The sequence below is a fragment of the Homo sapiens genome, chromosome 16 (assembly GCF_000001405.40).
Source record: "Homo sapiens chromosome 16, GRCh38.p14 Primary Assembly".
NCBI classification, from domain to species: Eukaryota; Metazoa; Chordata; class Mammalia; order Primates; family Hominidae; genus Homo; species Homo sapiens.
This window is the reverse complement of record NC_000016.10, coordinates 81,052,042-81,079,592: the sequence shown is the minus strand read 5'-3', so window position 1 is coordinate 81,079,592 and position 27,551 is coordinate 81,052,042. Positions and strand designations below refer to the sequence as shown.

Here is a 27,551-nt window from a genome sequence, read left to right as displayed (position 1 = left end):
CCGGCTAATTTTTTGCATTTTTAGTAGAGACGGCCTTTCACTGAGTTAGCCAGGATGGTCTCGATCTCCTGACCTCGTGATCCATCCGCCTCGGCCTCCCAAAGTGCTGGGATTACAGGCGTGAGCCACCGCGCCCAGCTGCTGAATTTTTCCAATTTCTATAGTTTTTCTGGGGCTACTAAAAAGAGCACAGTTTAAAAAATTATGCTAACTACAAGCGTGTCTTTTTTACTGTGTTCTTTCAGACCAAATCACACCTTCCTTCCCATACTTAAAGAGGTGCCTTTCTTTACACCAGGATTAAATTCCTCTTTCTTCCCTGCAACAGGCCTTTCCTGCCGCCCAGGCTGGAGTGCAATGGTGCGATCTTGGCTCACTGCAACCTCCACCTCACGGGTTCAGGTGATTCTCCCACCTCAGCCTCCTGAGTAGCTGGGATTACAGGCGTCCATCACCACACCCGGCTAATTTTTGTATTAGGGTTTTGAAATGGGGTTTCGCCATGTTGGCTGGGCTGGTCTTGAACTTCTGACCTCAAGTGATTGACCCGCCTCAGCCTCCCAAAGTGCTGGGATTACAGGTGTGAGCCACCGCACCCACCCATCTCCCTTTAATTTTAAAAAATAGATATGGGGTCTTGTGACACTTCCCAAGCTGGTCTCAAGTGATTCTCCTGCCTTAGCCTCTCCTGTGAGTAACTGGTATTACAGACGCAAGCCACCACTCCTGGCTTTTTTTCTTTAAAATACATTTTATGTGTTAGAGGAAGTTTACAGTCACAGCAAAATTGAGGAGAAGGTACAGTTCTGTACGCTTCCATTCTCCGTTTTTGCAAAGTGGGATCTTACTATAAGTAGAGTTTCTGGTATCTTGACTCAATTCCTATGTTGACTTTTTATAAACATAACTAGCCAAACCCTTGTCCCTTCATGTTTCCACTCAATCATGCTATCGGGCTTTTACCTGCTAAATGCAGGAATAGTTAGTGTGAAGGAAGTCAGGTTCTAGATCCTCCAACTTCCCCATGTACTTGCCGTTAGGTTATTTAATTAATATTCATTTAGCAAATCTTAGTTAAGACTTTTGGTATACTTCCCAGAAACTTTTTTCTAATATGCAAGGTCTTGCACTGTTTCCCAGGCTGGAGTGCAGTGACACAATCATAGCTTACTGCAACCTTCAACTCCTGGGCTCAAGGGAGCCTCCTGCCTCAGCTGGGATTCCAGGTGTGAGCCACGGTGCCCAGCTGTTTTCAATAGATCTGAAGGAAGACCAAAACAAATTGTCAACTGATAAAACATTTAAATGTTTTTGGTTAATACTTACTAGCTTGAGATACAATAAAACCCCTTTTATTTGCATCTTCCTATTTATGTGAACAAGGTACCTAAGCTTACACGTATGAAAAAAGTTGGAATAGAATTATAGCTGAATCCGTCTCATTGGAGCAATCACAGTGCTAGAGAACTTAGATACCAAAATTTTTTTTGAGACTTGAGTTTTGCTCTCCAGGCTGGAGTGCAGTGGTGCCATCACAGCTCACTGCAACCTCCGCCACCCGGGTTCGAGCCAGTCTCCTGCCTCAGTTTCCCAAATAGCTGAGATTACAGGCGCCCGCCACCACACCCGGCGAATTTTTGTATTTTTAGTAGAGACACGGTTTCGCCATGTTGACCAGGCTAGTTTCGAACTCCTGATCTCAGGTGATACACCCACCTCGGCCTCCCAAGTGCTGGGATTACAGGCGTGAGCCACCGCGCCTGGCCTAGATACCGGTTTTCTACAGCAGAAATAGTCACACTTTCTAAAGCAGAAGGGCTTTGGAGTCAGACCCGAGCTGGAGTGGGGGATGCTTTGCGATCTCTCTTCAGCAAGCTGTTGTTTTAGGGACGTGGGGCCACCTTCCTTTATTTGTATAAAAGATGCCACTGCCCACTTAAGAGCTGTGCTGCTCCGGGCCAGCAGTTCAGCGAGTGCCCGTCGGCCTGGTGCTGTCGGTCACGTAAGTGGGCTCTTTGAGGCTCACAACGCGTCCTCCCTGGACGTTCTGGGCCTGTTAAGTTTGTGTCCGTGGGAAACGCTCACGGCGGTTCCCCAGAGGGCCGAGGGAGAAAAGTGAGGACGTTTCTGGCCGCCTGGCATCTGCTAAATATCCTAGCAGGCACAAGGGCTCCCCAACGGGACTCGCCGACCCGAGAGCCCGGGTGGGCCTCAAGCCCCGCCATCTGAGACCCTCCGTCGCTGGCCCTTCCGGCGGCAGCGCCCGGAGCGGATAGGAGATGCCACGAACCGCCTCGCCAGTGCTAGGCTTTGTTGGGCTACGTCACTTCCGCCGCGGTCCCGCCCCCAGCGTGGTCGTAACCCAAGGCAACGGCCCATCCGGCAGCGACCTGAGTAGCTCTTGCCAGTAGGCCGGGACTAGCTGTCTCGGGGCCTTCCATCCGCTTGGCCCCACAGGTAGGTGTGAGCGGCCATTTCTCCACCCCTGGGGCAAGGCCCGGGACCACTCCAAAGGCGACAGAGCGAGAGTCCCTGCCTCGTTCGAAAGGAAGCGAGAGGGAGCGAAAGGCAGAGGCACTATGTGCCGGGGCTTCCCCAGAGCGGGCGGGGTCTGGGGAGGGGCGGGGCCTGAGGAGGATCCGTTGGGAGCGGAACCCTTTAAGGGTGGGTAGACGGAGGACGGGGAGGAATTCGAACGGGCAATCCAGAACGCTTTTCTGAATGGGATAGTTTGAAAGAAGGGCAGGCGTCTTTGTGGCACGGTAGGAACTGGCGGAGGAAGGGGAAGAGCTAGATGAGGAAAAAAGGCTTATGGCATAAAGGGAGGAGCCTGATAGAGAAAGGGGTGTGGCCTGCAGGAAGGGGCGGGGCTAGATGAAGAGGTGGAGCCGAGCGTGATGCGCCTGGGCTTTAGGGGTGGCAGGTGGAGCGCGTGTGTTTGATGACTTGCGCTTTGCTGTGGACTGTAAGCTGTGTGAGAGTAGAGAAGACGGATGCTGCTTTAGCTTTTTATTCTCAGTGCTAGGTACTTAGTGAATTCATTAATGTGAGTTGAAAAAGGGGAAGAGTTTGAGACTGAGATTGGAATAGATGTGGTCTGATCGGGAGGGATGGTGTAGAAACTGCGCTCCTTGGCATCATTCTGTGAAATACTTGAGGTTCCTGTGACCTGTAGGCATATAATAAGCAGAAGGCACATATAATTAACAAGGAGGATAAAATTTATACTCTTGGAAATATGAACAAATTGTGCAAGTTGGGTGGCGCGGGTGCTTAACTTTCAGACAAAGGTTCAGCTCCTTCCAGTGTGTTTCTAAATGCGACTCCCAACTCATTTTCCTGTAGAAACTGTGTCACAAATGATCAGGATGCCCAGGTCAGTCTTCAGGACCTATTTAACTGGTTCATGTAAGTGAAGATTGGTCCTGTATTAAGAAACTTAACTTCTGCCATGGCTAACAATATTTCTAATGATTATTCCTTCATTCAGCATAGGTTGTTAAGGAGCCGACCCACAGGAACGTTCATTCAAATTCCAAATGAGGCTGCCAGAAACTCATCTTTCCCTGGTTGGAATTTAAGATTCCTTTAAACCTATAGCTTGTAGGAAGATGAGGGTGTGTGGCACAGTGGAGAGCCAATGAGAAGTTGAGGCAAGGTGATAAGGAGTTTTGAGAGATTACCATCTATCTGCTTTTGACATAAACAGCTTGCGTTTGACTTAATACCCTGGGCCTTGGTTTCTCCTGGTCCTTCAACATTCCCCTGCCCTTAATGGATTAGGAATCTGTCAACCAGGTATAGGAAGCTACGGTAAGATATTTGTAATCTGACTATATAGACAGACTGGCAAACATGTGGCACACTCTATTTTCTGGCAGACATAATTAATCAACCCCAGAAATTTTTCCTGCTATAGTCAGGTCATAAGATCCTTCTCAATACAACACTCTAGGTAGCCACTAGTTTGGAGTTGACAATTCAGAATTTTCTTTGTTTTGTTTTGAGACAGTCTCACCCTGTTACCCAGGTTGGAGTGTAGTGGTGCAATCTCGGCTTACTGCAACCTCTGCCTCTCGGGTTCAAGCGATTCTCCTGCCTCTGCCTTCCAAGTGGCTGGGACTACAGGCGTGAGCCACCATGCCTGGCTAATTTTTGTATTTTCGGTAAAGATGGGGTTTCATCATATTGGCCAGCCTGGTCTTGAACTCCTGACATCAAGTGATCCACCGGCCTCGGCCTCCCAAAGTGCTGGGATTATTGGTGTGAGCTACCGTGCTTGGCCAGAATGTATTCTTTATCCCTGATCTAGGCAATAGGTGTTAAAAAAAAAAGAGAGAGAGAGAGAGACATCAACTTCTATAACTCTTGGTAGGTTCCTCTAAAAAAAAAGACTATCTAAATGGATGGATCTGGATTCCTGTAGAAAAGATTTAGAAACATAGGCCAGGTCATTGTATAGGGAGTAAGATGAAGGTGAATTTGCAGCTAGTTGAATAATTAGCAAATGTCCAAGTGAAAGGGATACCCAGAGGGCATTATCCTTTACCCATCCTTCTCAACGTCTTTATCCGTGATGTAGATGGAGATACAGAAGGCATCCTCATCAAATTAATGGAGTCATCAAGCAAGAAGGAATGGTCAAACTGTGGGAAGTCAGAGTTAGGTTGCGAACTGTCTACGCAGGTTTAATAATGGTCCAAAAACAAAAGGGGAAATTTTACAAGGATCTGATGCATTTGGAGTCTACATCTAAGTAAAACAAAAAGAATAAAGAAAAAGAAAAGAAAATCAACAGCATGGTTACAGAGTAAAGAAGACAGGAATTTTTAGCCATTCATGTGAAAAAAAAAAAAATCTGGAAGTTGTAGTTCACCTCAAGCTCAGTGTTAATCAAGATTGAGTTATAGGGTTGGGTGTGGTGGCTCATGCCTGTAATCCCAACACTTTGGGAGGCTGAGGCGGGCGGATCACGAGGTCAAGAGATCGAGACCATCCTAGCCAACATGGTGAAACCCTGTCTCTACTAAAAATACAAAAATTAGCTGGGCGTGATGGCGCGCATCTGTAGTCCCAGCTACTCAGGAGGCTGAGGCAGGAGAATCTCATGAACCCAAGAGGCAGAGGTTGCAGGGAGCTGAGATCATACCACTGTACTCCAGCCTGGCAACAGAGCGAGACTCTGTCTAAAAAAAAAAGAAAGAAAAAAGATTGAGTTACACTTTTAAAAAAATATAGTAACTTTGTTTAATTAATAGATGTAGATTTCAGATCAAAAGGAGTCAGATTTCAAAGCAGACACTTCTAGTCAGACCACTTTTGAGGTATTGCTTTCAGTTCCAGGCACCACATTTTAAGAGACAGGTAATTTTGCATTCTTAAGATGATGAGGAACTTGAGATTTGTATCTGACAAAATGATAGCTGTCTTCAGATGTTTTCAGATTTGCATTTGAGAAGAATACCAAGAACTGAGGAACAAAATTTGCAGGCTTGCGGATGACTTAATTTGAGATCATTCGAATCTTTAGAGCTTCCAATGGAAAGAAAAAACATTCCTGTAAAGTTACGAGCACTCAGTCGTTGAAAGTACTTAAGCAGAAGTATTTAAGCTGAATTATTATTGTATTAGTTTTCTGTTGATGCTTTGTTCTCTGTTTAAGATCTCCTAAGTCATCCAGTCTAGACTCTTATTGGAAGAACCCACTTCCAAGATCATTCAGACTGTTGGCTGAATTCAGTTTCTTGAAGTTGTAGAACTGAGATCCCTGTTTAATTCCTCACTGTAAACCAGGGTCTTTTCTCAGCTCCTAAATGCCATCCACATTCCTTGGGATGTGACCCCCACTTCATCAAAGCCAGCAACAATGCATTGAATTCCTCTTGTGCTTTGTATCTCTGACTTCTGCTGCTGCTAGCTAAGACAAGTTTGTTTTAGAAGACTACGTCATTTGATTAGGGCCACCCAGATTATCTAAAATAATATCCTATCTTCAGGTCAACTGGTTAATAACCATAATTACATCTGCAAAGTCCCTTTTACCATGTAATATAACATATTTGTGGATGTTATATTTCATCCTATTCATCCAGGGATTAGGGTGGGAAATCTTGAGGGGAGAGAATTTGTAGAATTCTGCCTACCACGTTATCTTTCAGGAACATTCTAGAAGAGCTTATTGCAGCAGGTATTTTTACCCATTTTTCTCTCCATGACCATAAATTAACCTTATATGCTATTAATTCTGCCTCTAATCAGAGTTGTATCTTAGAATTAAGCATATTTTTAGTCTTCCAAAGACATGGAGCTTGTGTTCCTGAGACTTTCAATCTCTAATAGGCACTTTTTAGCCTGAATTTATGGTACATACCAATCTGGCTTTACACAGGGTAATAACTACAGACATCTGTTCCCTTCTATAGTGGTAAAATACTTTATGTTTTATATTTTCCTATTGTGAAACAGCAACTGTATTTTCCTGTTTTACCTGAAACTAATCCTTTTCTGCTAGCATCATGTGACTTCCTATAAGGTAGCTATAATTTAGAGGACTAAATAGCTAGTTCCCTTTAGTATGTAACTCTTCATCCAGTTATTTTTTAAAGTATGTTATAATTGGCCGGGCACTTTGGGAGGCTGAGGCGGACGGATCACTTGACATCAGGAGTTGGAGACCAGCCTGGCCAACATGCCAAAACCCTGTTTCTACAAAAAAATACAAAAATTAGCCAGGCATGGTGGCGCACGCCTGTAATCCCAGCTACTCAGGAGACTGAGGCTTGAGAATTGCTTGAACCTGGGAGTCAGAGGTTGCAGTGAGCCGAGATCATGCAATTGCACTCCAGCCTGGGCAAGAGAGTGAGACTCTGTCTCAAAAACATAAAAATAAAAATAAAAAAATAAAAACTAGGGTGGGCACGGTGGCTCACGCCTATAATCCCAGCACTTTGGGAGGCTGAGACTGGCGGATCACCTGAGGTCGGGAATTTGAAACCAGCCTGACCAACATGAAGAAACTCCATCTCTACTAAAAATACAAAATTAGCCTGGCATGATGGCGCATGCCTATAATCCCAGCTACTTGGGAGGCTGAGGCAGGAGAATCACTTGAACCCAGAGGCAGAAGTTGCAGTGAGCTAAGATCGCACCATTGCACTCCAGCCTGGGCAACAAGAGTGAAACTCCATCTCAAAAAAATTAATAATAAAAAGTATGTTATAGCTAGTTTCTTTTTTCTTTTTTATTCTTTTTTTTTTTTTTTTTTGCATCAGGTATAATCATTACACGAACAACCCCTCAGAGTCAGAGTCCCACCTGGCCTTGTAATCTCAGCTCTGACACAATCTCAGTAACTGTACTTACCTGTATAGGACAGACTGGTGTAGCAACAAGCAGTTCCTCAGATCTCATGGCTGGAGTCATTAAGTTTTTTCTCATCCATGCATAGTCTGATGAGGGTTTATGGGGACATTTCTCAAAGCTGTGAGTCAAAATCTAGGCTTCTTCCATTCTGTGGTGCCGCTAACTCAACATCTGACCCCCAGGGTCATTGTGGGAGGAGAAGAGAGAACTGAAGGAGGACGTTACCTATTCACTGCCTCACCCAGGAAGTGACACACATTAGTTCCACTCACAGTCTGTTGACCAGGCTAGTCACAAGTCTCTAACCCAACTGCAACAGAGGCTGCAAAGTAGGCAAAGACAGTGGCTCTTTGGGCAGCAGTAGCTGTCTCTCACAGTGATCCCGGAACGTTCCTCACCTTCCTGCATTTTTTTTCTCATTTATAAGATGGTACCACTAATGAGTTATTCTCTTAGAGACTCGGTATATGTACCAGTTATGTTATGCATTGACTTTTTAATTTTTTTTTATTTTTGGGGTTATTTACTTATTTATTGATTTAGAGACAAGATCTCCCTCCGGGGCCCATGGGATCCCCCACTTCAGCCTCCCTAGTAGCTCTGACCACAGGCACACACCACCACGCCTGGCCATTAAAAAAAATTTTCTAGTGATGGGGTATCTCTGTGTTGCCCTGGCTGTTGTCAAATTCTTGAGCTCAAGTGATCCTCCTGCCTCAACCTCCCAAAGTGCTGAGATTACAGGCGTGAGCCACTGCAGCAGCCTGCACTGACTTTTCTTTTCCCAGCATTTGTGTCTTAATTGAAACCAGTGTTTCTTTGTCTTGGAAGTGTTCATTTCCAATATAGTGACTTCTCTTCCCCTGCAGCGATTAGATTTTCTTCTCTGGCATTTAGCCTTGATCACAGATAGTTGGTCGCTCTTATTGGTTAGTGATAACCTGCCACGTTTGACTGGGCCACTTGGAGCTTCCCCATGACACTGGGAGTAGAGCTTTGGCATTCTGAATACACTGATCTCTAGTGAGGAGCAGTCATATCAGGAACCAGGTAGGAATGTTCTTTTCATTCTTAGTGGGGCTGTACAGAGTCTCACGAGGTCAGAACAAATATAACTCACCATATCGCCGCTGTCTGATTGGCACTGGATTCCCAGGAACAAGTATGTCCACACCATATAGTGAAAAGAAGTACACATGGACTCTGGAGTCGGAAAACCATGGCGTGGTGGTTCAAGACATGAAAATTATTTGATAATTCTCCCATACAGAAGAAGAGTCTGTGCCCCTTCCTCTTGAATGTGGGCTGACCCCAAAGGCTGATAAACCAGTTGAGTCCAGCAGTGAAACTATACATGACTATAAGTTATTATATAGAAGTGAAACTATAGAGTGACTTATAAGATCATAAAGCTACTCGGGAGGCTGAGGTAGGAGAATGGCTTGAACCTCGGAGGCGGAGGTTGCAGTGAGCCGAGACCATGCCATTGCACTCCAGCATGGGCAACAAGAGCAAAACTGCGTCTCAAAAATAAATAAGTAAGTGAAAATAAAAAACAGGAAACCCCCAAATAAAAGCTGCCCAGTTTTAAGATTTATATTTATAATCTATGATCCATTGTAAAGTGTTTTTGCATATAGACGGTTAATTGTTGCAACACCATTAGTTGAAAAGACAGTCCTTTCTGTATTTAATTATTTGTGTGCCTTTGTTTAAAAAAAACTATTGGCCATGTTTGGGGGGGTGTATTTCTGGATTCCTTATTCTGGCGCATTGACCTATGTGTCTCTTCATTCACTAATACCATACTGCTTTGATTACTGTAGCTTTATGGTAATTCTTAAAACTGGGTAGTGTGATTTCTCCACTTAATTCTAACTTTTCAAAATGTTTCAGCTATTCTAGTTCCTTTGCCTTTCCCAATAAATTCTAAAACTTGCTTGTCAATGTAAAGAATCCTGCTCTAGATTCCTATTTATATCATCTCAGTATTCATCAGTGCAGTCTTACAACTTCTTCTTTAACCTTTCAATCTATTTTTGGGACTTTGTGTTTTCATATAAACTTTAGAATCCAAAAATTTGAAAAAGGTTTGTTTTTTTTTTTGAGATGGAGTCTCACTCTGTCGCCTAGACTGGAGTGCAGTGGCGTGATCTCGGCTCACTGCAAGCTCCGCCTCTTGGGTTCAAGCAGTTCTCTGCCTCAGTCTCCTGAATAGCTGGGATTGTAGGCGGCCATCACCATGCCCAGCTAATTTTTTTTGTATTTTTAGTAGAGATGGGGTTTTACCGTCTTGGCCAGGTTGGTATTGAACTCCTGACGTCGTGATCCACCTGCCTTGGCCTCCCAAAGTGCTGGGATTACAGGCGTGAGCCACCATGCCTGGTGAAAAAGGTTTTAAGAACAGCATTATAATGTTTTAAGTCCAGTCTTATCTTCCTAAAATCTAGGACTTCCCATTCCCAGGAAATGGTCCAAGGAGTCTGGATTCTATTTTCAGTGATGATAAATGTCCACATTTTAGGTAGTGACATTCACAGTAGATATGGGTTATTTTCTTTGTATTTCACCTCTAATGATACCAGATTAATGTGGTACCAAAACAGTATGATCAGTCACCAAAATCTGGCTTCTTACTCCTCCTGGAGATATAGAAGGAAGTATTAGCCCCGCTTCTCCTTAAAGTGAGGCAATGTCTGTGATTTGCTCCAGGCTAATGACATGTGAACTGAAGTCAAATGAGTGACTTCCAGAAAGAACCATCTAAGAGCCATGTTTGCCATCACACTCTGCATCACAGTTGGCTGTGGTTTCCAACGACGCAGGCAGCCTCTGTCAGTTCATGTTCAGGAGTGAGGACAATGTGGAACAGAGTCCCAGACATCATACAATGAACCTGCAGCATGAGTTAGAAAGAAGCCTGTGTTTTTTTAACCACTGGAAAAGAGATAGGGCTGCTTGTTACTGCAGCCTATCCTTGCCTGTCTTGACTAATGCTAGGTAGTCGAGACTGACGGACAGTACTCCTCCTAATTCAAGTGTACCCACTGCAGCCTTCTTCAAAAAGAGCCTGGCAGCTTGAGTCCTATCTGGGGCAAAAAAGACATAAACCAAAAATAAGCAGACACAAAATCAGAATTCTATTTTTTTATAAGTCCATTTCTAACCTCATTTTCATTAAAATAAAGTAGCCACGTTATTACCTTCTTTATCAAAACAATATGAAGGGCCAGGCACGGTGGCTTACGTTTATAATCCCAGCACTTTGGGAGGCCGAGGCGGGTGATCACCTGAGGTCAGGAGTTCATGACCAGCTTGGCCAACATGGTGAAACCCTGTCTCTACTAAAAATACAAAAAAAATTAGCCGGGCGTGGTGGCATGCGCCTGGAATCCCAGCTACTTGGGAGGCTGAGGCACAAGAATCACTTGAACCCAGGAGGCGGAGGTTGCAGTGAGCTGGAATCATGGCACTGCACTCCAGCATGGGTGACAGAGCGAGACTTGGTCTAAAAAATATATATATATGTTACAAAGAAAGGCTGGGCTCATGCCTGTAATCCCAGCACTTTGGGAAGCCAAAATGAGAGGATCACTTGAGGCCAGGAGTTTGAGACCAGCCTGGTCAATATAGTGAGACCCCATCTCAAAAAAAAAAAAAAAAAATACAAAGAAATACAAAGGCCCTTTCTGTACCATATGGCATAGTCATTTCTTCTGCTATCCCTTCACTTCTTTTCAGCTACCAGGACTTTGGAAATTTCTTTATGTTCTTGGTCGGGTGGTCTCTTTCCACATAGGTTTTTCTTTGGGCAGTGTTACTTATTTGTAAATAGGAGATACGTTCATTGTTCTCAGTTTACACTGATTTCTCCCCCGCTTTCCCAATTTTAACTTTTATACAACACACAACAGAAAACATGTCCTTTTGCTGTATTCGACTGGTATGCCTCTACTGTTGACTGTGATAGCTTAACCGTTGTCTTTGTTCATTTCAGGAGCAAGACACTTCATACTCTATAGATTGGTTAGGGTGTTAAAGCTACATTAACTTTGCCGGACGTATAACAAAGGAGCATTTGATAGTCTTGTACTTCTCAGTTCATTAACAAATTACATGATCTCAATATAGTGTCACAGATCCAAATAGTAATGTCTATTCTTTTCTGCATTTACACCTGTTCCTTTGGCCATTCAATAAATTCAATGAGAAGCCCTTGTGTACTGTGACTTAAGAATAATTGGACAAATATTTCTGGAGTTCCTCTAAATCACTTTTATAAAACTTGTTATCTGATGTTATATCTTTTTTGTAGATCTGTGTGTTTTTTTCTTTCAATAAGTCCTTGTTCAAGGTCTTTACTGCAACTTAAAATTACACAAACCTTGTTATCTGTTCATTGATACATTTATTTCTTTGGGAGGCTGAGATGGGTGGATCACCTGAGGTCAGGAGTTCAAGACCAGCCTGGCCAGCATGGTAAAACTCCGTTTCTACTAAAAATACAAAAATTAGCCCTGCATGGTAGCGCACGCCTGTAATCCCAGCTACTCGGGAGGCTGAGGCAGGAGAATCGCTTGAACCCAGGAGGCGGAGGTTGCAGTGATCCGAGATCACACCATTGTACTCCAACCTGGGCAACAGAGCGAGTGTCTCAAAACAAAAAAACAAACCAAAACAAACAAACAAAAAACAACATTTATTTCAGTTTGCTTAAGGTCAAAATTCATTGTACCCTGGCTTCTATCATTATTCCACATTTCATTTCTTGGAGCTCTCCGATAACATCATGGCTTTAAAAGTTTTATTACAGGAAGTTTCATGCTTACATAAAAATATAATAGTACAGTTAATCCCCATGTCCTCATACCCATCTACAACAAACAGAACTTAAGGGCACTTTGGTTTCACTATTCCCTCCCTAACCTCAACCTCACATTATTTTGAAGCAAAACATGTTATTGGTAAAAGAAAATAAACCACTTTACATTTCTTTGGCTGATCATTTCCTTTTTGTATCTGTCTTTAAATGCTACTAGAAAAGGTATTTTCTGGATTATGGTAAATTTCCATAGGCTATATTTTTTAGGCTCTCATTCACCATCTTTCTTTCGTTTCCAAATATCTTAAGTTCTTTGATCAGTTTTTCTTTGGGTTTATTCTTGTTTATCCAAACATGCACTTTGGGGGCTTGGATCAGAGTCAACTATTTCTTTTGTACATGTTGGTTCTAATCACTTTAATAGCTTGTGTAATAGAGTTTAATACCTTCTGGCCTACATATTTGAGCTTTCCCGCTTTATACTCTAAATCCAATTTTAGAGTTGCATCTGCAAATGCGTCTCCATGGCAACATCTTCACTGTGATCTTTGTGTTTTCTTGATGTGGTGGAAAACGTTTGTATGGACTTTGATGTATGCTTTATCCTGGTGATTCTCAAACTGAATCAGGTTGTAAAGTTCAATGGAAGCCAAGAAATGGGATGGCATGAGCTCTTGGTTTACGTCAAATGTGTAAGTCAGGCATAATTTTACTACCAGAAAATATTATATGAATATAGATGTCTGCATTCCAACATAAAAGTAAAACTGCATACAGATTGCAAGGAATCACATATCCACTCTTTTCTTTGATCTATTGATTCTTGGCCATTACTGTGTGTCATCTGCTAACGTGAGCTGGAAGACAAGAATGGGTAATAAAACTCGACAGTTACAAAAAAATTAGCCAGGCGTGGTGGCAGGCGCCTGTAGTCTTAGCTACCTGGGAGGTTGAGGCAGGAGAATTGCTTGAACCCGGGAGGCAGAGGTTGCAGTGAGTTGAGATCACACCACTGCACTCCAGCCTGGGCGACGGAGCGAGACAGACAACAACTTGATAGTATGTTTAGAGAAGGGAAACTTAAAATACAACTTTCCTATCCACTAACTGAATTTCTTTTTAATTAGGAAAAGACCCCAATATTCTCTTTTAGTAGCGGAGCGTGTTGATCCTGCCTGAAGTACACCAGTGTTCCGAAGGTGCATCTGGTGATCTGGTATGCAGTAATCTGACCTTCTGATTAATAATACTGTGTTAATTGACTCAGGGATGATTCTTAGTTTTGAGTCACAAGGAATCAATACAGTTCCTTGTGAACCCTCATTACATAAGTAAAGTGCTTATAAAAATGTAGTGTTGGCCAGGCACGGTGACTCACGCCCGTAATCCCAGCTACTCGGGAGGCTGAGGCAGGAGAATTGCTTGAACCTGGGAAGCGGAGGTACAACTTCCAACTTAAAATTTTACAAAATTTACTCCAGTAAATTTTGTCAGTGAGCTAAGATCGCACCACTGCACTCCAGCATGGGCAACAGAGTGAGACTCTGTCTCAAAAACAAAACAAAACAAAACAAAACAAAACAAAACAAAATAAAAAAACTAAGCCTATGTGAAAAAGCCAAATTGGTAATTCAACAGATTTGTCATAAGAAGTACCGATCTCTTCCTAAACAAAAAATGAAAAAAACTAGTTTTCTGGCATGGGTCACGTCTGGCTGAGAGAAAGCAAGGAGTGGGTGTCCCCTGTGCCTCCTGTCTTATCACAAGCAAGGAACTTCTTGAGAAGACACTGGGTGCTTATCAGCACTCAAGCCAGAGCTTTGGTGGTCACTGCTCAGGTATTCTAGTTAATTTCTGCAGCCTGTGGGGTCCACAGGAGGAACCCCTATCTGTAGGAAGGTATCATGCTTTTGCTTTTTTTTTTTTTTTTTTTTTGAGACGGATTCTTACTCTGTCGCCCAGGCTGGAGTGCAGTGGCACGATCTTGGCTCACTGCAACCTCTGCCTCCCAAGTTCAAGCTATTCTCCTGCCACAGCCTCCTGAGTAGCCGGGACTACAGGTGTGCACCACCACACCTGGCTAACTTTTTTGTATTTTTAGTAGAGATAGGGTTTCACCATGTTGGTCAGGCTGGTCTCAACACCTAACCTCAAATGATCCACCCAGCTCGGCATCCCAAAGTACTGGGATTACAGGCGTGAGCCATCGCATGCAGCCGCTTTAGCCCTTTTTATAGATGAGCAAACAGACCCAGAAAAGTAAGTCATCGCTCAAGGGACACAGCCGGTAAATAGGACTGGAACTGTTCAGCTCTTTGGCTCTGATCAGGATTACAACTTTGCAGACCCTTTGTCTAGATTCTAAATGCCAAGTGCATTTTCCAGAAAAACATCCATTAATGGTAGATAGGGTTATCACCATCACCTACTGTTTTACTTTGCTAGGGGCGTCATGACAATGTACGACAGACTGAGTGGCTTAAACAACAGAAATGTATTACCTCATAGGTCTGGATTCTCAAAGTCCAAAATCAAAGTTTTGGCAGGGTTTGTTCCTTCTGAGGGTTGTGAGAGGAGGCTCTGTTCCAGGCTGCTGTCTTTGGCTTGTAGATGGCCATCTTCTCCCTATGTCTCTTCATATCTTCTTTTTTTTTTTTTTTTTGAGACAGAGTCTTGCTCTGTTGCCCAGGCTGGAGTGCAATAGCGTGATCTTGGCTCACTGCAACCTCCACCTCCCGGATTCAAGTGATTCTCCTGCCTCAGCCTCCCAAGTAGCTGGGATTACAGGTGCGCAGCACCACACCCAGCTAATTTTGTATTTTTGGTAGAGATGGGGTTTCGCCATGTTGGCCAGGCTGTCCTCGAACTCCTGACCTCAGGTGATCCATCAGCCTCAGCATCCCAACGTGCTGAGAATACAAGTGTGAGCCATCACTCCTGGCTGCCTTATCTTTCATAGTGCCAGTGGTTGGCAGTGGATAGTTGCGTAATATTTGTTCTCAGTCTATTCCTGAATGTTTCTTTCTTTCTTTTCTTTTTTTTTTTTGAGATGTAATCTCACTCTCTAACCCAGGCTGGAGTGCAGTGGCCAATCTCAGCTCACTGAAACCTCTGCTTCCTGGGTTCAAGTGATTCTCCTGCCTCAGCCTCCCGAGTAGCTGGGATTACAGGTGCCCGCCTTATTTTTAGTAGAGACTGGCTTTCACCATGTTGGCCAGACTGGTCACAAACTCCTGACCTCAAGTGATCCGCCTGACTTGGCCTCTCAAAGTAATTCCTGGAATTACAGGCATGAGCCACCGCGGCCGGCCATATTCCTGAATGTGTCTTGAAGATATTTCACCTGAGTATTGCATTGCTTTTTTTAAAAAAAAATTAATATTAAAAACGAAGTTCCATTCATGTTTTTAAACAGCAAGAAGATGTTAAAAACTTTAAGCAAGCATCACAGTAATGGATCTCTGTCAGAAAAATGAGACTGACTTAGAAAATGCTGAAAATAATGAAATTCAGTTCACAGAAGAAACAGAACCAACCTATACTTGTCCAGATGGAAAAAGTGAAAAAAATCATGTTTATTGTCTTCTCGATGTCAGTGACATTACGCTTGAACAAGATGAAAAAGCCAAAGAGTTTATTATTGGAACTGGATGGGAAGAGGCAGTGAGTATCTTTCTGAGTCACAGCTTTTCTGTCTCTCGCACATCAGTGTTTTGGTGCAAGCCTCTTTTTCCCAAAAATAGTTAATATTACCAAAAAATGTGGAATCAATGACATGTAGAAACCCTGGAATTGAGGTAAAATATTACTGATGATAAGAGCAGCACCTACTGTGGGTATTTATGGCCACTTAGTATGTGGACAGCACAGTACTAAGTACTTTGGATACATTAATTCATCTAACCTCTCAATAGCCATATGGGGCAAGTTTTCTTCCCAGCCTCGCTTTGTGGATGAGTATACTGAGTCACTTGGAAGATAAAGTTACATGCTCGAGATCACCCAGCCAATAAGTGGCCAAGGCAGGGCTTGAATCCAGGTCTCCTGGACTCTAGAACCCTGAGCTCCTTAGCAGCTGTGCTGAACTCCCTGAGAGAACTGAGGCTTCTTTCCTAATGGCTCTACTCAGAACTCTGTGGGTTTTTTTTTTTTTTTTTTTTTTCCCTGAGATGGAGTCTCTTTCTGTCGCCCAGGCTGGAGTGCAGTGGCGCGATCTTGGCTCACTGCAACCTCTGCCTCCTGAGTTCAAGCGATTCTCCTGCCTCAGCCTCCTGAGTAGCTGGGATTATAGGTGCCCACCATGCCCAGCTAATTTTTGTATTTTTAGTAGAGACGGGGTTTCACCATATTGGCCAGGCTGGTGTCAAACTCTTGACCTTAGGTGATCTGCCCACCTCAGCCTCCCAAAGTGCTGGGATTACAGGCCTGAGCCACTGCGCCTGGTCTGCAGGCTTACTCTTAAACAATTCATAGAATCAACAATAGAATCCTATATTTAAAACTATAAGAAAACTAAAAAAAAAAAAAAAGCATAAAACTATGAGAAAACTTGGTCTAATCCAGTGATTAAACATAGGATTACCAGATAAATACCTAATTTATCAGTATAAGTATGTCCAAAATGTGGTCCTATATTTTTACTGGCAACCCTTTTTTAATGGTGATCTCTGTGGCAAGATCAGCCAGAGGACTCTGGGCGTGTATGGGGAGTAGGTATCCCTGGGTACGCAGGGCTCCTCTGCATTCCAGGACCTGCCTCTGCTCCTCGGTCTCCCTCCAGCCTCTCCAAGCAACAGTGTTCCCCAGGTAAGGGAAGCAGAGACTGGCGGTGCCCGAAATCCTTGTTGGTGGGACAAGTATGAACGGTTTTCATTTTATTTTAATGGCTTCAAATTTAAATGTGCATTTGAAAAGAAATATAGTCAGCACATCAAAGTGGCCATTTACAAATACTGTTGCTTAGTGTTTTAGTATTAACAAATGCTCTTGCTAGTATTTAGGATTAACAAATACTATTACAAATACTGTTATTGCTTTATAGCGGTGAAAGTAGGTATTACACTTTTTCATGCTTTGCAACTTTGAAGGATTTTTTTTTTAAGTGAATGAATTTTAAGAAAATTATTAGTGGGGGAAGGGGTAGTAAAAAAATAAATAAAAATAAGAATATTGTTTCACATAAGACTGCCAAAATGGGAATGTGGCCAAAATTGGGGCAAGGACAGTTTGGGCCCCTCAGCTGGAGGAGTAACATGCCGCTTTATTTGCAGGTCCAAGGGTGGGGAAGGACTTCTCCAGCTGCCTGCATCTGGCCGAGGAAGATACCAAAAAAGGCGAGGGTAGGGGAAGGTGCCTGCAGCGACTGCTTGGTGTGTGTTAACCTCTCCCACTGGAGCCTCCAGACCAAGCCTCCTACTGAGGGGGGCCCAGAGAAGGATCAGAGCAGCCCCTCCCAGACTCAGGCAGCCCCCCAGGGCCCCAGCACTGCTTCCAGGGCAATTAGCGACATCTGCTTTCCCACCTACTTTCGAGCAGAGAAAAAAAGTCTGCAAATCAAGGAGTTTATTTGGTGCAACAAAGACTGGGCCATCCCCGGCACTAATAGGGGCAAGGCCTCTGGGAATCCCAGTGGAGGGGCCCACAGAGGGCTGTCCATCCCAGGCCCCCTGACTTCCAGGGCCCTCCTAGTTCTGCCTCCCCTGAAGGCTTCACTTTCAAATGCTTTGGATGTTCTGGGTAAGAAGAGTAAGAACTCTTTCTTGCAGTCAGAAGAGAAGGTGCTGGATGTGGAAAAGGATGGGTGTGTGGCTTATGCATATGGCTTGAAAACAGCAGATGGGAAAGGTGAAAAAAGAGCCAGTGAGCTGGCCAAACACCCTATGGTCAACGACACGCCATCCTCCCCTTCCCCAGCGGCCCAGATATCCCTGCTGACCGATCCGGAGCAGCGCTGCCTGCATTGGTCCCTCCTGTCTGAGAAAAACCTGGCGTGCCCTCCAGACCCCAGCAACGTTCGCTACCTTGCTGCCTTGCAGCTTCTGCAGAAACGGGGAGTGCAAAGCTACAAATCCAAATTCAAAGCCAAGGAGCCAAGATCTCCTGTGATCACCCGAAAGCATGTTCTCCCAAAGGCCAAGCAGGAAAACAGGCCCCAAATGCTGGAGACCAAAGTTTTCCCAAGACCTGTCTTGCCGTCTCTCACAGTGAGCAGAGTTATCATTCCTGTCTCTACCCACAGGATCCTCTGAGCGGTTGCGGTAGAACCCCTGGGAATAAGCACCGTTTGAGATGCAGCCATCCTTTCTCTTTCTTCTCTCTCATTTCCCACCCACCCCCCACTCTCTCTTTCTCTCCTCCCCGTCAGTCTGTCTTTACTCTTCTTTTCCTCCATTTTTTTTTTGTAGTACAACTGAAGAAAACTGAACCTCAGTGGATTGTTGGGATTTATTTTCTAAAACACCATATTCATGTGTTAACGTGCTTCTGCTACTTAGCCATTCACAAAATGCCAATTGGTCTTGCCAGCCCCAGCCTCTGCCTGCTTCATGTCCACTCCCAGCAGAAGCCACGCAGAAAGTGGGGAATCCAAAGGGCCTCCTTCCCTCCATGCTGGCCGCACGTCAGCCCAGAGCCATCTGGCAGGTGTCCTTTCTGCCCCACCCCCGTGCCTCAAACTAAGTATACTGGGCTGGTTTAGACCAAACTGCCTGCTGATTTTTTGAACGAAGCAGGTGTCTATGTGCTGCCTCATTTGCTGTTGCAACAAAGATCTGAAGAATTGCTTTAATAAAAAACTCCAGGCCGGGCACAGTGGCTTACGCCTCTAATCTCAGCACTTTGGGAGGCCAAGGCAGGTGGATCACCTGAGGTTGGGAGTTCGAGACCAGCCTGACCAACATGGAGAAACCCTGTCTCTACTAAAGTAATACAAAATTAGCCGGGCATGGTGGCGCATGCCTGTAATCCCGGCTACTCAGAAGGCTGAGGCAGGAGAATCGCTTGAACCCGGGAGGCAGAGTTTGTGGTGAGCCGAGATCGTGCCATTGTACTCCAGCCTGGGCAATAAGAGCGAAACTCCGCCTCAAAAGAAAGAAAAGAAAACTCCAGCTTGTGTCCAGGACGTCCAAGGCATTGGAGACCCTGTGCGTCCAGGGTGTCACACCCTCAGATTGTTTCCATGTATATACACTATCGTCTCCTGCATTTTCAGGGTGCCATGTCCTCAGATTGTACCCTCATACTAATCTCTGTGTCTGGAAGTTTTAGCTACAGTGCTACAAAATCCAGCCTGGGAAGCAGGTTAAGAATAATTACTTTTTGGGGCCGGGCGCCGTGGCTCACACCTGTAATCCCAGCACTTTGGGAGGCTGAGGCGGGCGGATCATGAGGTCAGGAGATCGAGACCATCCTGGCTAACACGGTGAAACCCTATCTCTACTAAAAATACAAAAAATTAGCCGGGCGTGGTGGCGGGCTTCTGTAGTCCCAGCTACTCAGGAGGCTGAGGCAGGAGAATGGCGTGAACCCAGGAGGCGGAGCTTGCAGTGAGCGGAGATCGTGCCACTGCTCTCCAGCCTGGGCGACAGAGTGAGACCCCGTCTCAAAAAAAAAAAAAATCTTTTTGGGAAAAAAATAAAAAGATCACTGTGATTATCATCCCACATGCTTCCTCTGGCATTACTTTGCATCTAATGTTTGGAAACCCTCAACCCCAGACACTTTTGGAAAGGGGCTGTTATTTTCTCCCTCTGTCCTTCCTCCACCCTCATTTTACCCCAACTCATATTCCCACCGTTCTATCTAAATTAAATGACATTTGTAAATGATTTATATTTTAAATGCCAAGTGATGTTGCTTTGTAGACACATGTTCTGATGAACCGTTCTGTGATATGAGTAATCATTAAGCTGCTTTGTAATTACATAGTTTGAATTTGCTTAAGGTAGGTTGGACTTGAAGTCTGGATTTCCTGTCTCCAAACGATGGAGTAGACAGAATATATGACTATATTTGTAAATACCTGCTTCCATAGTGGTCTTTGTAATGTCTTGTCTGTTTGCCTAGGGTTTTTTTTTTTTTTTTTTTTTTGAGACAGAGTCTCGCTCTGTCACCCAGGCTAGAATGCAGTGGCATGATCTTGGCTCACTGTAACCTCCGCCTCCTGGGTTCAAGCGATTCTCATGCCCCAGCCTCCCAAGTAGCTTGTATTACAGGTGCCCACCACCACACTCAGCTCATTTTTGTATTATTAGTAGAGACTGGGTTTCCGGAGGTTGCAGTGAGCCGAGATGACGCCATTGCACTCCAGCCTGGGCAACAGAACAAGACTCTGTCTCAAAAAAATAAATAAATAAGAATCCAAGTCCTCTTCCCAGACATTATCTCTTTTAATCCTGCATGTATGCATGGGAATCAGGGATCATTTTCCTCTTCTAACCCAAGGAGAAATTGTTCAGCAGAGGGTTGGGTTTGGTCAGGACAGCATTAAGGTTTGTAGCCTGGGTTTCTGAAGGCTCAAACTATATTTCACAGGTCGGGGACGTTTGAAGTACTAGGTGGAAAATATCACATAAGGCAGGAAGGAGGGCTCAAGAATGTCATTTCTTCCTTTAAGATAGGAACAATTTTCAGATACAGGATGTGGTGAAGATGACCAGGTAATGTATGTTGAACTCCAACAGAGATCTGTGTTTTTCCTGAATGTATTGAGTGGATCAAATATAACAAGCTGGATAATTTCCCTCTAATGAATAACTGACTGTTTAAAATTGTATGGAAGTCCTTTGGCCTGCAAGCTGGCATTTGGATATTTGATGATGGGTCTTTACTCTTTAATGGGTTCTCAGAACTTAACTTTGCAACTTGTCAACTAAGGTGCTCCTTGCTTGGGTCCAATCCATCTTAATTCCCTGGCCTTTTTCCTCATCTGGTTTTGCCTGTATTTCCACTGTACCAGTCTAAACACCATCACTGTGCAGCTTAAGGCATGACTCTTGTACTGAATTTGTGCATACGGAGGTGTTCCAGGAAAAAACTTTTCAAGTTCAATCTCCTAGATCAAAAAGCATCTGTATATTTTCTTGGACACAGTCTCAGGATAAATCCAGTGTTCACTGCAATAAGTAAAAATAAGAACCATCTTCCTTTTTCCTAAGAGCTGAGAACCATCAGGATGTATATTTTTTAGTACCCCAGCTTTGCCACTGAGCATTTCTGCCTTTGCCTATAAAATGAGCGAGTAATGTCTGAAATTTCCCTAGTTCTGTCATTTTAATGCATTTAACTTGCCTGCAAACATTATTATTATAGAGACGCAAAATAGTGAACAGTTATTTCTGTTTCAGGTTTTGTTTTGTTTTGTTTTGTTTTGTTTTGTTTGAGATGGAGTTTCGCTCTTCTTGTCCAAGCTGGAGTGCAATGGCACAATCTTGGCTCACTGCAACCTCCGCCTCCCGGGTTCAAGTGATTCTTCTGCCTCAGCCCCCTGAGTAGCTGGGGTTACAGGTGTGTGCCACTGTGCCCAGCTAATTTTTGCATTTTTAGTAGAGAGGGGGTTTCACCGTGGTAGCCAGGATGGTCTCGATCTCCTGACCTCATGATCCGCCCGCCTTGGCCTCCCAAAGTGCTGCGCTTAGAGGCGTGAGCCACCACACCCGGCCTGTTTCAGGTTTTGATCAGTCTTGCTCTGGATCCTGGCCTTTCTAATGTGAAAAACAACAACAACAACAACAACCTAAATGAACTTCAGTTTATACGTTTCAAAAGATGATGATGGTAAAAACCCTAAAGAAATTTTAGTTTTTTTTTTTAACCTAAGACTGTGGGCACTTAACCTTCTCTACCAACACATACTTTTTTTTTTTTTTTTTTGAGACAGAGTCTTCCTCTGTGGGCCAGGCTGGCATGATCTCAACTCACTACAAACTCTGCCTCCCGGGTTCAAGCAATTCTCCTGCCTCAGACTCACGAGTAGGTGGGATTACAGGTGTGCACAACCATGCCCAGCTAATTTTTGTATTTTTAGTAGAGACAGGGTTTCACCATGTAGGCCAGGCTAGTCTCAAACTCCTGACCTCAAATGATGCGCCCGCCTTGGCCTCCCAAAGTGCTGGGATTACAAGCGTGAGCCACCATGCCCTGCCCCAATACGTTCTAAACAATATACATAACTTCTTAGAGGATTGAATGGCCCAGGTGGGTGCTGTATTTACAGCAATGCTCAAAGCCACCCCATCACCTGGCCTATCTTTAGGACAGGGCTTTTCAACCTGGGCACTATTTGGGGCTGGATCATTCTTTGTGATGGGCCTGTATGTGCATTGTGGGATGTGTAGCAGCATCCCTGGCCTTGACATATTAGATGCCAATACCATCCCCAGTCATGACAACGAAAAATGTATCCAGACTTTCCCAAATGCCCCTTTAGGGCAAAATCACCCTAGCTGAGAACCGCTGGTTTAGGGAATTAGTAATCTGGAGCCCACCGCCTTTGCTGCAGCTTCTCTGACAGCTTTACTTATAGATCAAGCAGGTGCCTTGGTGCAGGTGTGAAGGGAGCTGGGGGAACGCCCAGCTTGCCACATCCCAGAAGGCATATGTGCTCTCCATTTTGCGCTGGTCCTCTAGGGTCTCATGGTGGCACCTGCCTAGGTCCTTTCTAGAAAGAAGCAAAGAAGCAGCCATAAGTCTGCTTTTTTTTTTTTTTTTTTTTTTGAGACGGAGTCTTGTTCTGTTACCCAGGCTGGAGTGCTGTGGCGCGATCTTGGCTCACTGCAACCTCCCTCTCCCGGATTCAAGTGATTCTCCTGCCTCAGCCTCCCGAGTAGCTGGGATTACAGGTGCCTGCCACCATGCCCAGCCAATTTTTGTATTTTTAGTAAAGATGGGGTTTCACCAGGTTGGCTAGGCTGGTCTTGAACTCCTGACCTCAAGTGATCCACCCATCTCAGCCTCCCAAAGTGCTAGGATTACAGGTGTGAGCCACCGCACCCTGCGAAGTCTGCTTTTCTCTGAGAAGAGTCTCTCAGAGTAACAGGAGGGCCCATTCAGTCAGTGACAGGAAGAGTTGTGGGCATTCTCTCTTCCCATCTTCAGGAGAATGTGCATTACTGGTTTGGCAAGGTTTTCGAGATAAGTCGAAGATGTTAAATTAGTGTATTTACATTTACTGCCATTATTCAGAATTCTCTGATGTTTAATACTCACTTTTCCACACTCACTGCTTGGGCTGAACAGGCGTAAATATGAAAAGGCAGCCAATACTTTGTGGGATACACCTTAGCAAGCACTGGCAATCTGTGCTTCATATGTATATATCAAAGTGGCTTTTCTCTCCCGTTTAGCTTAAACTACAAATCTTCCTCCCCATGTATCTTTTAAAATGAAACAGTTGGCTGGGCATTGTGGCTCGTGCCTGTAATCCCAGGACTTTGGGAGGCTGAGGTGGGTGGATCACTTGAGGTCAGGAGTTCGAGATCAGCCTGGCCAATATGGCGAAACCCCGTCTCTACTAAAAATACAAAAATTAGCCAGTTATGGTGGCACATGCCTATAATCCCAGCTACTTGGGATTAGGCAGGAGAGTCGCTTGAACCCGGGGAGGCAGAGGTTGCAGTGAGCTGAGATTCCAACACTGCACTCCAGCTTGGGTGACAGAGCGACAGTCCGTCTCAAAACAATAATAAAAAAAGAAGTTTCTCTACTTATTTTATTTTTTGAGGCAGAGTTTCACCTGTTACCCAGGCTGGAGTGCAGTGGTACCATCACAGCTCACTGCAGCCTTAGCCTGCAGGGTTTAAGCGATCCTCCTACCATAGCCTCCCTAGTAGCTGGCTGTACAGGCACACACCACCATGCTCAGCTAATTTTTTTTTTTTTTTGAAGAGACGGGTTTTGCCATGTTGCCCAGGTTGGTCTCGAACTCTTGGACTCAAGTGATCCGCCTGCCTTGGCCTCCCAAAGTGCTGGGATGACAGGCATGAGCCCCCATGCCCAACTAGTTTTACCACTTATTAAAACTTGAGGAGAGCTAGCTTGAAAATGTAATATAGTTTTTTATTTTCAGCACCACACAGGGTTATGACAGTTCACTAAGCCTTTATTTTTTTTTCCTTTTTATCTGCCCAAGAATAACCATGATCACTAAACCTCTAAATGTGAAAGAACTGTTAGTGATTTCATTTGTTCCAATCTGCATGTCCTCTGAAGATAAATCCGATATGGAATTTGGGATAAATACCACTGGCCTTATTACTATTCATGAGTCTATTTTAATTTCTTTGGCTGTTCAACGAAATCCTCATGACTGACTTCTCTAAATTTCAGGAAAGTAGGATGTCAGAGGAATACTTGGCATTATGGTAGTTATTTAGAGAACTTTAACTCTGAAGAGTTCTTACTAGTTAAGCACATATCTTGTAACAGAATAGTGACTTCAGTGATTTAAAAATATACGACCTGTTGGCCAGGCACGGTGGCTCACACCTGTAATCCCAGCACATTGGGAGCCCGAGGTGGGTGAATCACTTGAGGTCAGGAGTTCGAGACCAGCCTGGCCAACATGGCAAAACCCTGCCTCTACTAAAAATAGAAAAATTAGGGGGCGTGGTGGTGCGTGCCTGTAATCCCAGCTACTCAGGCGGCGGAGGCATAAGAAGGTCTTGAACCCTGGAGGTGGAGTTTGCAGTGAGCCGAGATCACGCCACTGCATACCAGCCTGGGCAGTAGAGTGAGACACTGTCTCAAAAAATAATAAGATATATCACATGTGGCCGGGTGCAGTGGCTCATACCTGTAATCCCAGCACTTTGGGACGCCAAGATGGGTGGATTGCTTGAGGTCAGGAGTTCGGGTCCAGCCTGGCCAACATGTATATACATATATATATATCACGTTACCAAAAAAGGTGCAGAAAAATTGATACCAGCTTGCAATTCATTAATAGTATTAACTCTAAAATATAACAAAACCAAAATTATTTCCATGAGCTGAAATAAGACAATATAGAGTAAATAATTCCTAAAGCATAATTTGCCAAAGTTTGGTTGACTTCCCAAAATTAAAATCTTAATTTCGGTGGGCTCACGTTTTAAAAAGAAAAAAGTTTTTTATTTTTGTTGTTTTTTTTTGTTGTTGTTGTTGTTGTTTGCTTGTTGGTTTTTAGAGACTAGTTTCATCTACCAAGGAAAAAGTTATTGAGGGCAGTCTTCATGGTTGAATATCCTTTTGTCATAATTCAGATGCATTGACTTCTGCCACATTTTCATTGCAGCATGGGCTCTACATTTTCTGAAGTCATTAAATTTCTCGTTACAGCACAGGAAAAAGAAGATAAAGTAGGAGAGGGATCAGTTTCACATTCAGTCCTAAGCAGCAACACGGTTGAGATGTAATCATAAAAGCAAATATTTCACCCAGGACATGGAAAAGCGGCGGATCACCAGAAAGCAGAGAGTCAAACGCTGCAAGCAGAAGCAGTAAGAAGACGCCACGTTTGGAGCAAGGTCTTATTTACACCTGCCATGGTCATCGGCTCGCTCTTTTAGGTCTCCCCAACCCGGCCCCCAAAAAGAGGTTATATGCAGAGGTAATATAATATATGTACTTTTGAAAATAACAAAGTCACCGTGGAGATAATTTCAAAACAATTTATTTTCATTTTCAGATACATTGGACTATTTCACTGATGTTAAAAAGAGTATGACTTGTTTAAATTTTTTGTTGTTTCTTTTTTGCAGCCTAATGTTCTGTAATAGTAACTTGCTTCCAAGTAAAGTATGAAAAGTTAGTGGAGGGGCCATGGCTGTGGTCTCTGATAGGTCAAACTATACTATTTTGGAATGCGTGGAGTTAGAACAAAGTTTTTATTTTGTTATTAATTAGTAAAGCAATAAATAAAATTGTCTTACTAATATTTATGAGTTTTTGTTTTGTTATTTATTAGTAAGGCAGTAAAACATTTAGTGTTTTTTCTGGAGTTTGTTGAAGAAACTGAATATTGATAGTGTTCCAGCTATGGCATAGCCAGTGCTGCTTTTACTGATTCATATAGCTTGGGCCTTGCTCCTTTCAAGCAAGCTGATTTTTAAATGCAGTGCCCCTGTGAACGTCAAGAACACCGACAACCTGAGAGCCGTCCCTGTTTGTTTTCTAGCCTGCGTCTCTGGATATGTAAACTAAAATATCAATGTATCTGCTAATAAATACCGTTCCAACAACTGAGAGAATCCTTTGGATTTAAACATTGAAAAACAATGTAGTCATCTTCTTGGCCTTAAAACATTTTACTGGCTAACACCTTGCTAAACAAACTAGATTAAAATTCATGGCTAGACGCAGTGGCTCACATCTGTAATCCCAGCACTTTGGGAGGCCGACGTGGGTGGATCACCTGAGGCCAGGAGTTCAAGACCAGCCTGGCAAACATGGTAAAACCCCGTCTCTACTAAAAATACAAAAAATTAGCTGGGCGTGGTGGTGCGTGCCTGCAGTCCCAGCTACTCGGGAGGCTGAGGCAGGAGAATTGCTTGAACCCAGAACGTGGAGGTTGCAGTGAGCTGAGATTGCACCACTGCACTCCAGCCTGGGCGACAGAGCGAGACTCCATCTCAAAAATAAGTACATGCATACATACATAAAATTCATGTCATTTAACAAATTAGAGCCTTTTAAAAGTTGAGAGTATGAAGGCATATATGTTGTCCCCTCCTAGTTGTCAAATCTAATTAATGCCATTTAAACATGCTTTGGAGGACAACACACATAGATACACTGTGAGAGACAAGGAAAATAAAACTGTGTGGTACCCCAAAGGCTGCGTCCCTAAGCCCCCCAAAGTGATATAACCCTTCTCTTTCTTTTTAAAAATTATTTTCTTTTAATTTTCTTTTTTTTTTTTTAATTTAGAACTCACAGTCTAGTAAACATTTTAGACTTGGGGTGTGGGGGCTACATTTGCATGTTTGTTACATGGTTATATTGTGTGATGCTGAGGTTTGGACTTCTACTGATCTCATCACTCATATAGTGAACACAGTACCCAATGGGTAGTTTTTCAACCCTTATTCCCCTTCCCACCTCCCCACTTTTAGAGTTCCCAGTGTCTGTTCTCATCTTTATGTCTGCATGTACCCAGTGTTTAGCTCCCACTTACAAATAAGAACATGCGGTATTTGGTTTTCCGTTTTTGTGTTAATTTGCTTAGGGTAATGGCATCCAGCTGCATCCATGCTGCTGCAAAGGATATGATTTTGTTCTTTTTTATGGTTGCATAGTATTCCATCGTGTATATGTACCACATTTTAGAAATACAGGCTGGGCACGGTGACTCATGCCTGTAATTCCAGTCCTTTGGGCAGCCGAGGTGGGT

The 27,551-nt window shown here is 43.8% G+C and overlaps 1 protein-coding gene and 1 long non-coding RNA gene across 7 annotated transcripts, besides 4 other annotated features; one reads left to right on the top strand and one right to left on the bottom strand.

Annotated features, from left to right (window-relative positions):
- Nucleotides 1,273-1,931: an enhancer, noted in NCBI's record as "H3K27ac-H3K4me1 hESC enhancer chr16:81111267-81111925 (GRCh37/hg19 assembly coordinates)". NCBI's record gives its function as "activates a minimal SCP1, AML or CMV promoter by ChIP-STARR-seq in primed H9 embryonic stem cells {active_cell/tissue: H9 hESC(primed)}" and the evidence as "EXISTENCE:reporter gene assay evidence [ECO:0000049][PMID:30033119]".
- Nucleotides 1,932-2,592: an enhancer, noted in NCBI's record as "H3K27ac-H3K4me1 hESC enhancer chr16:81110606-81111266 (GRCh37/hg19 assembly coordinates)". NCBI's record gives its function as "activates a minimal SCP1, AML or CMV promoter by ChIP-STARR-seq in primed H9 embryonic stem cells {active_cell/tissue: H9 hESC(primed)}" and the evidence as "EXISTENCE:reporter gene assay evidence [ECO:0000049][PMID:30033119]".
- Nucleotides 2,044-2,093: an enhancer, noted in NCBI's record as "active region_11177". NCBI's record gives its function as "activates an Ori minimal core promoter by ATAC-STARR-seq in GM12878 lymphoblastoid cells {active_cell/tissue: GM12878}" and the evidence as "EXISTENCE:reporter gene assay evidence [ECO:0000049][PMID:35858748]".
- C16orf46 (chromosome 16 open reading frame 46) lies at nt 2,355-26,096 on the top strand. Of its 6 annotated transcripts, XM_005255792.3 has the most exons (5): nt 2,355-2,457; nt 13,312-13,400; nt 15,600-15,847; nt 17,455-18,387; nt 25,499-26,096. In XM_005255792.3, exons 3-5 carry the CDS (start codon nt 15,638-15,640, stop codon nt 25,520-25,522), a joined length of 1,167 nt encoding a protein of 388 aa, XP_005255849.1. In that variant the 5' UTR covers nt 2,355-2,457; nt 13,312-13,400; nt 15,600-15,637; the 3' UTR covers nt 25,523-26,096. The 6 variants fall into 6 exon arrangements, with proteins under 6 accessions (XP_005255849.1, NP_001094343.1, NP_689550.2 ...); NM_001100873.2 differs by lacking the exon at nt 13,312-13,400; NM_152337.3 differs by lacking the exon at nt 25,499-26,096 and having other exon boundaries at nt 17,455-18,613.
- Nucleotides 2,684-2,823: an enhancer, noted in NCBI's record as "active region_11176". NCBI's record gives its function as "activates an Ori minimal core promoter by ATAC-STARR-seq in GM12878 lymphoblastoid cells {active_cell/tissue: GM12878}" and the evidence as "EXISTENCE:reporter gene assay evidence [ECO:0000049][PMID:35858748]".
- Nucleotides 2,995-7,566, bottom strand: C16orf46-AS1 (C16orf46 antisense RNA 1). Its single transcript, XR_007065137.1, has 2 exons — nt 7,363-7,566; nt 2,995-3,169 (listed from the first exon to the last, which is right to left on the bottom strand). It is a non-coding gene; the product is annotated as a C16orf46 antisense RNA 1 (long non-coding RNA).
- Nucleotides 26,097-27,551: the final 1,455 nt, after the last annotated feature.

Bases quoted from the DNA above. Each gene is read 5' to 3' on its own strand.
- C16orf46 (XM_047433586.1), top strand. From the start codon at position 15,638: ATGGATCTCTGTCAGAAAAATGAGACTGACTTAGAAAATGCTGAAAAT. The intron at 15,848-17,454 runs GTGAGTATCTTT...CTTTATTTGCAG, and splicing joins GAACTGGATGGGAAGAGGCA to GTCCAAGGGTGGGGAAGGAC.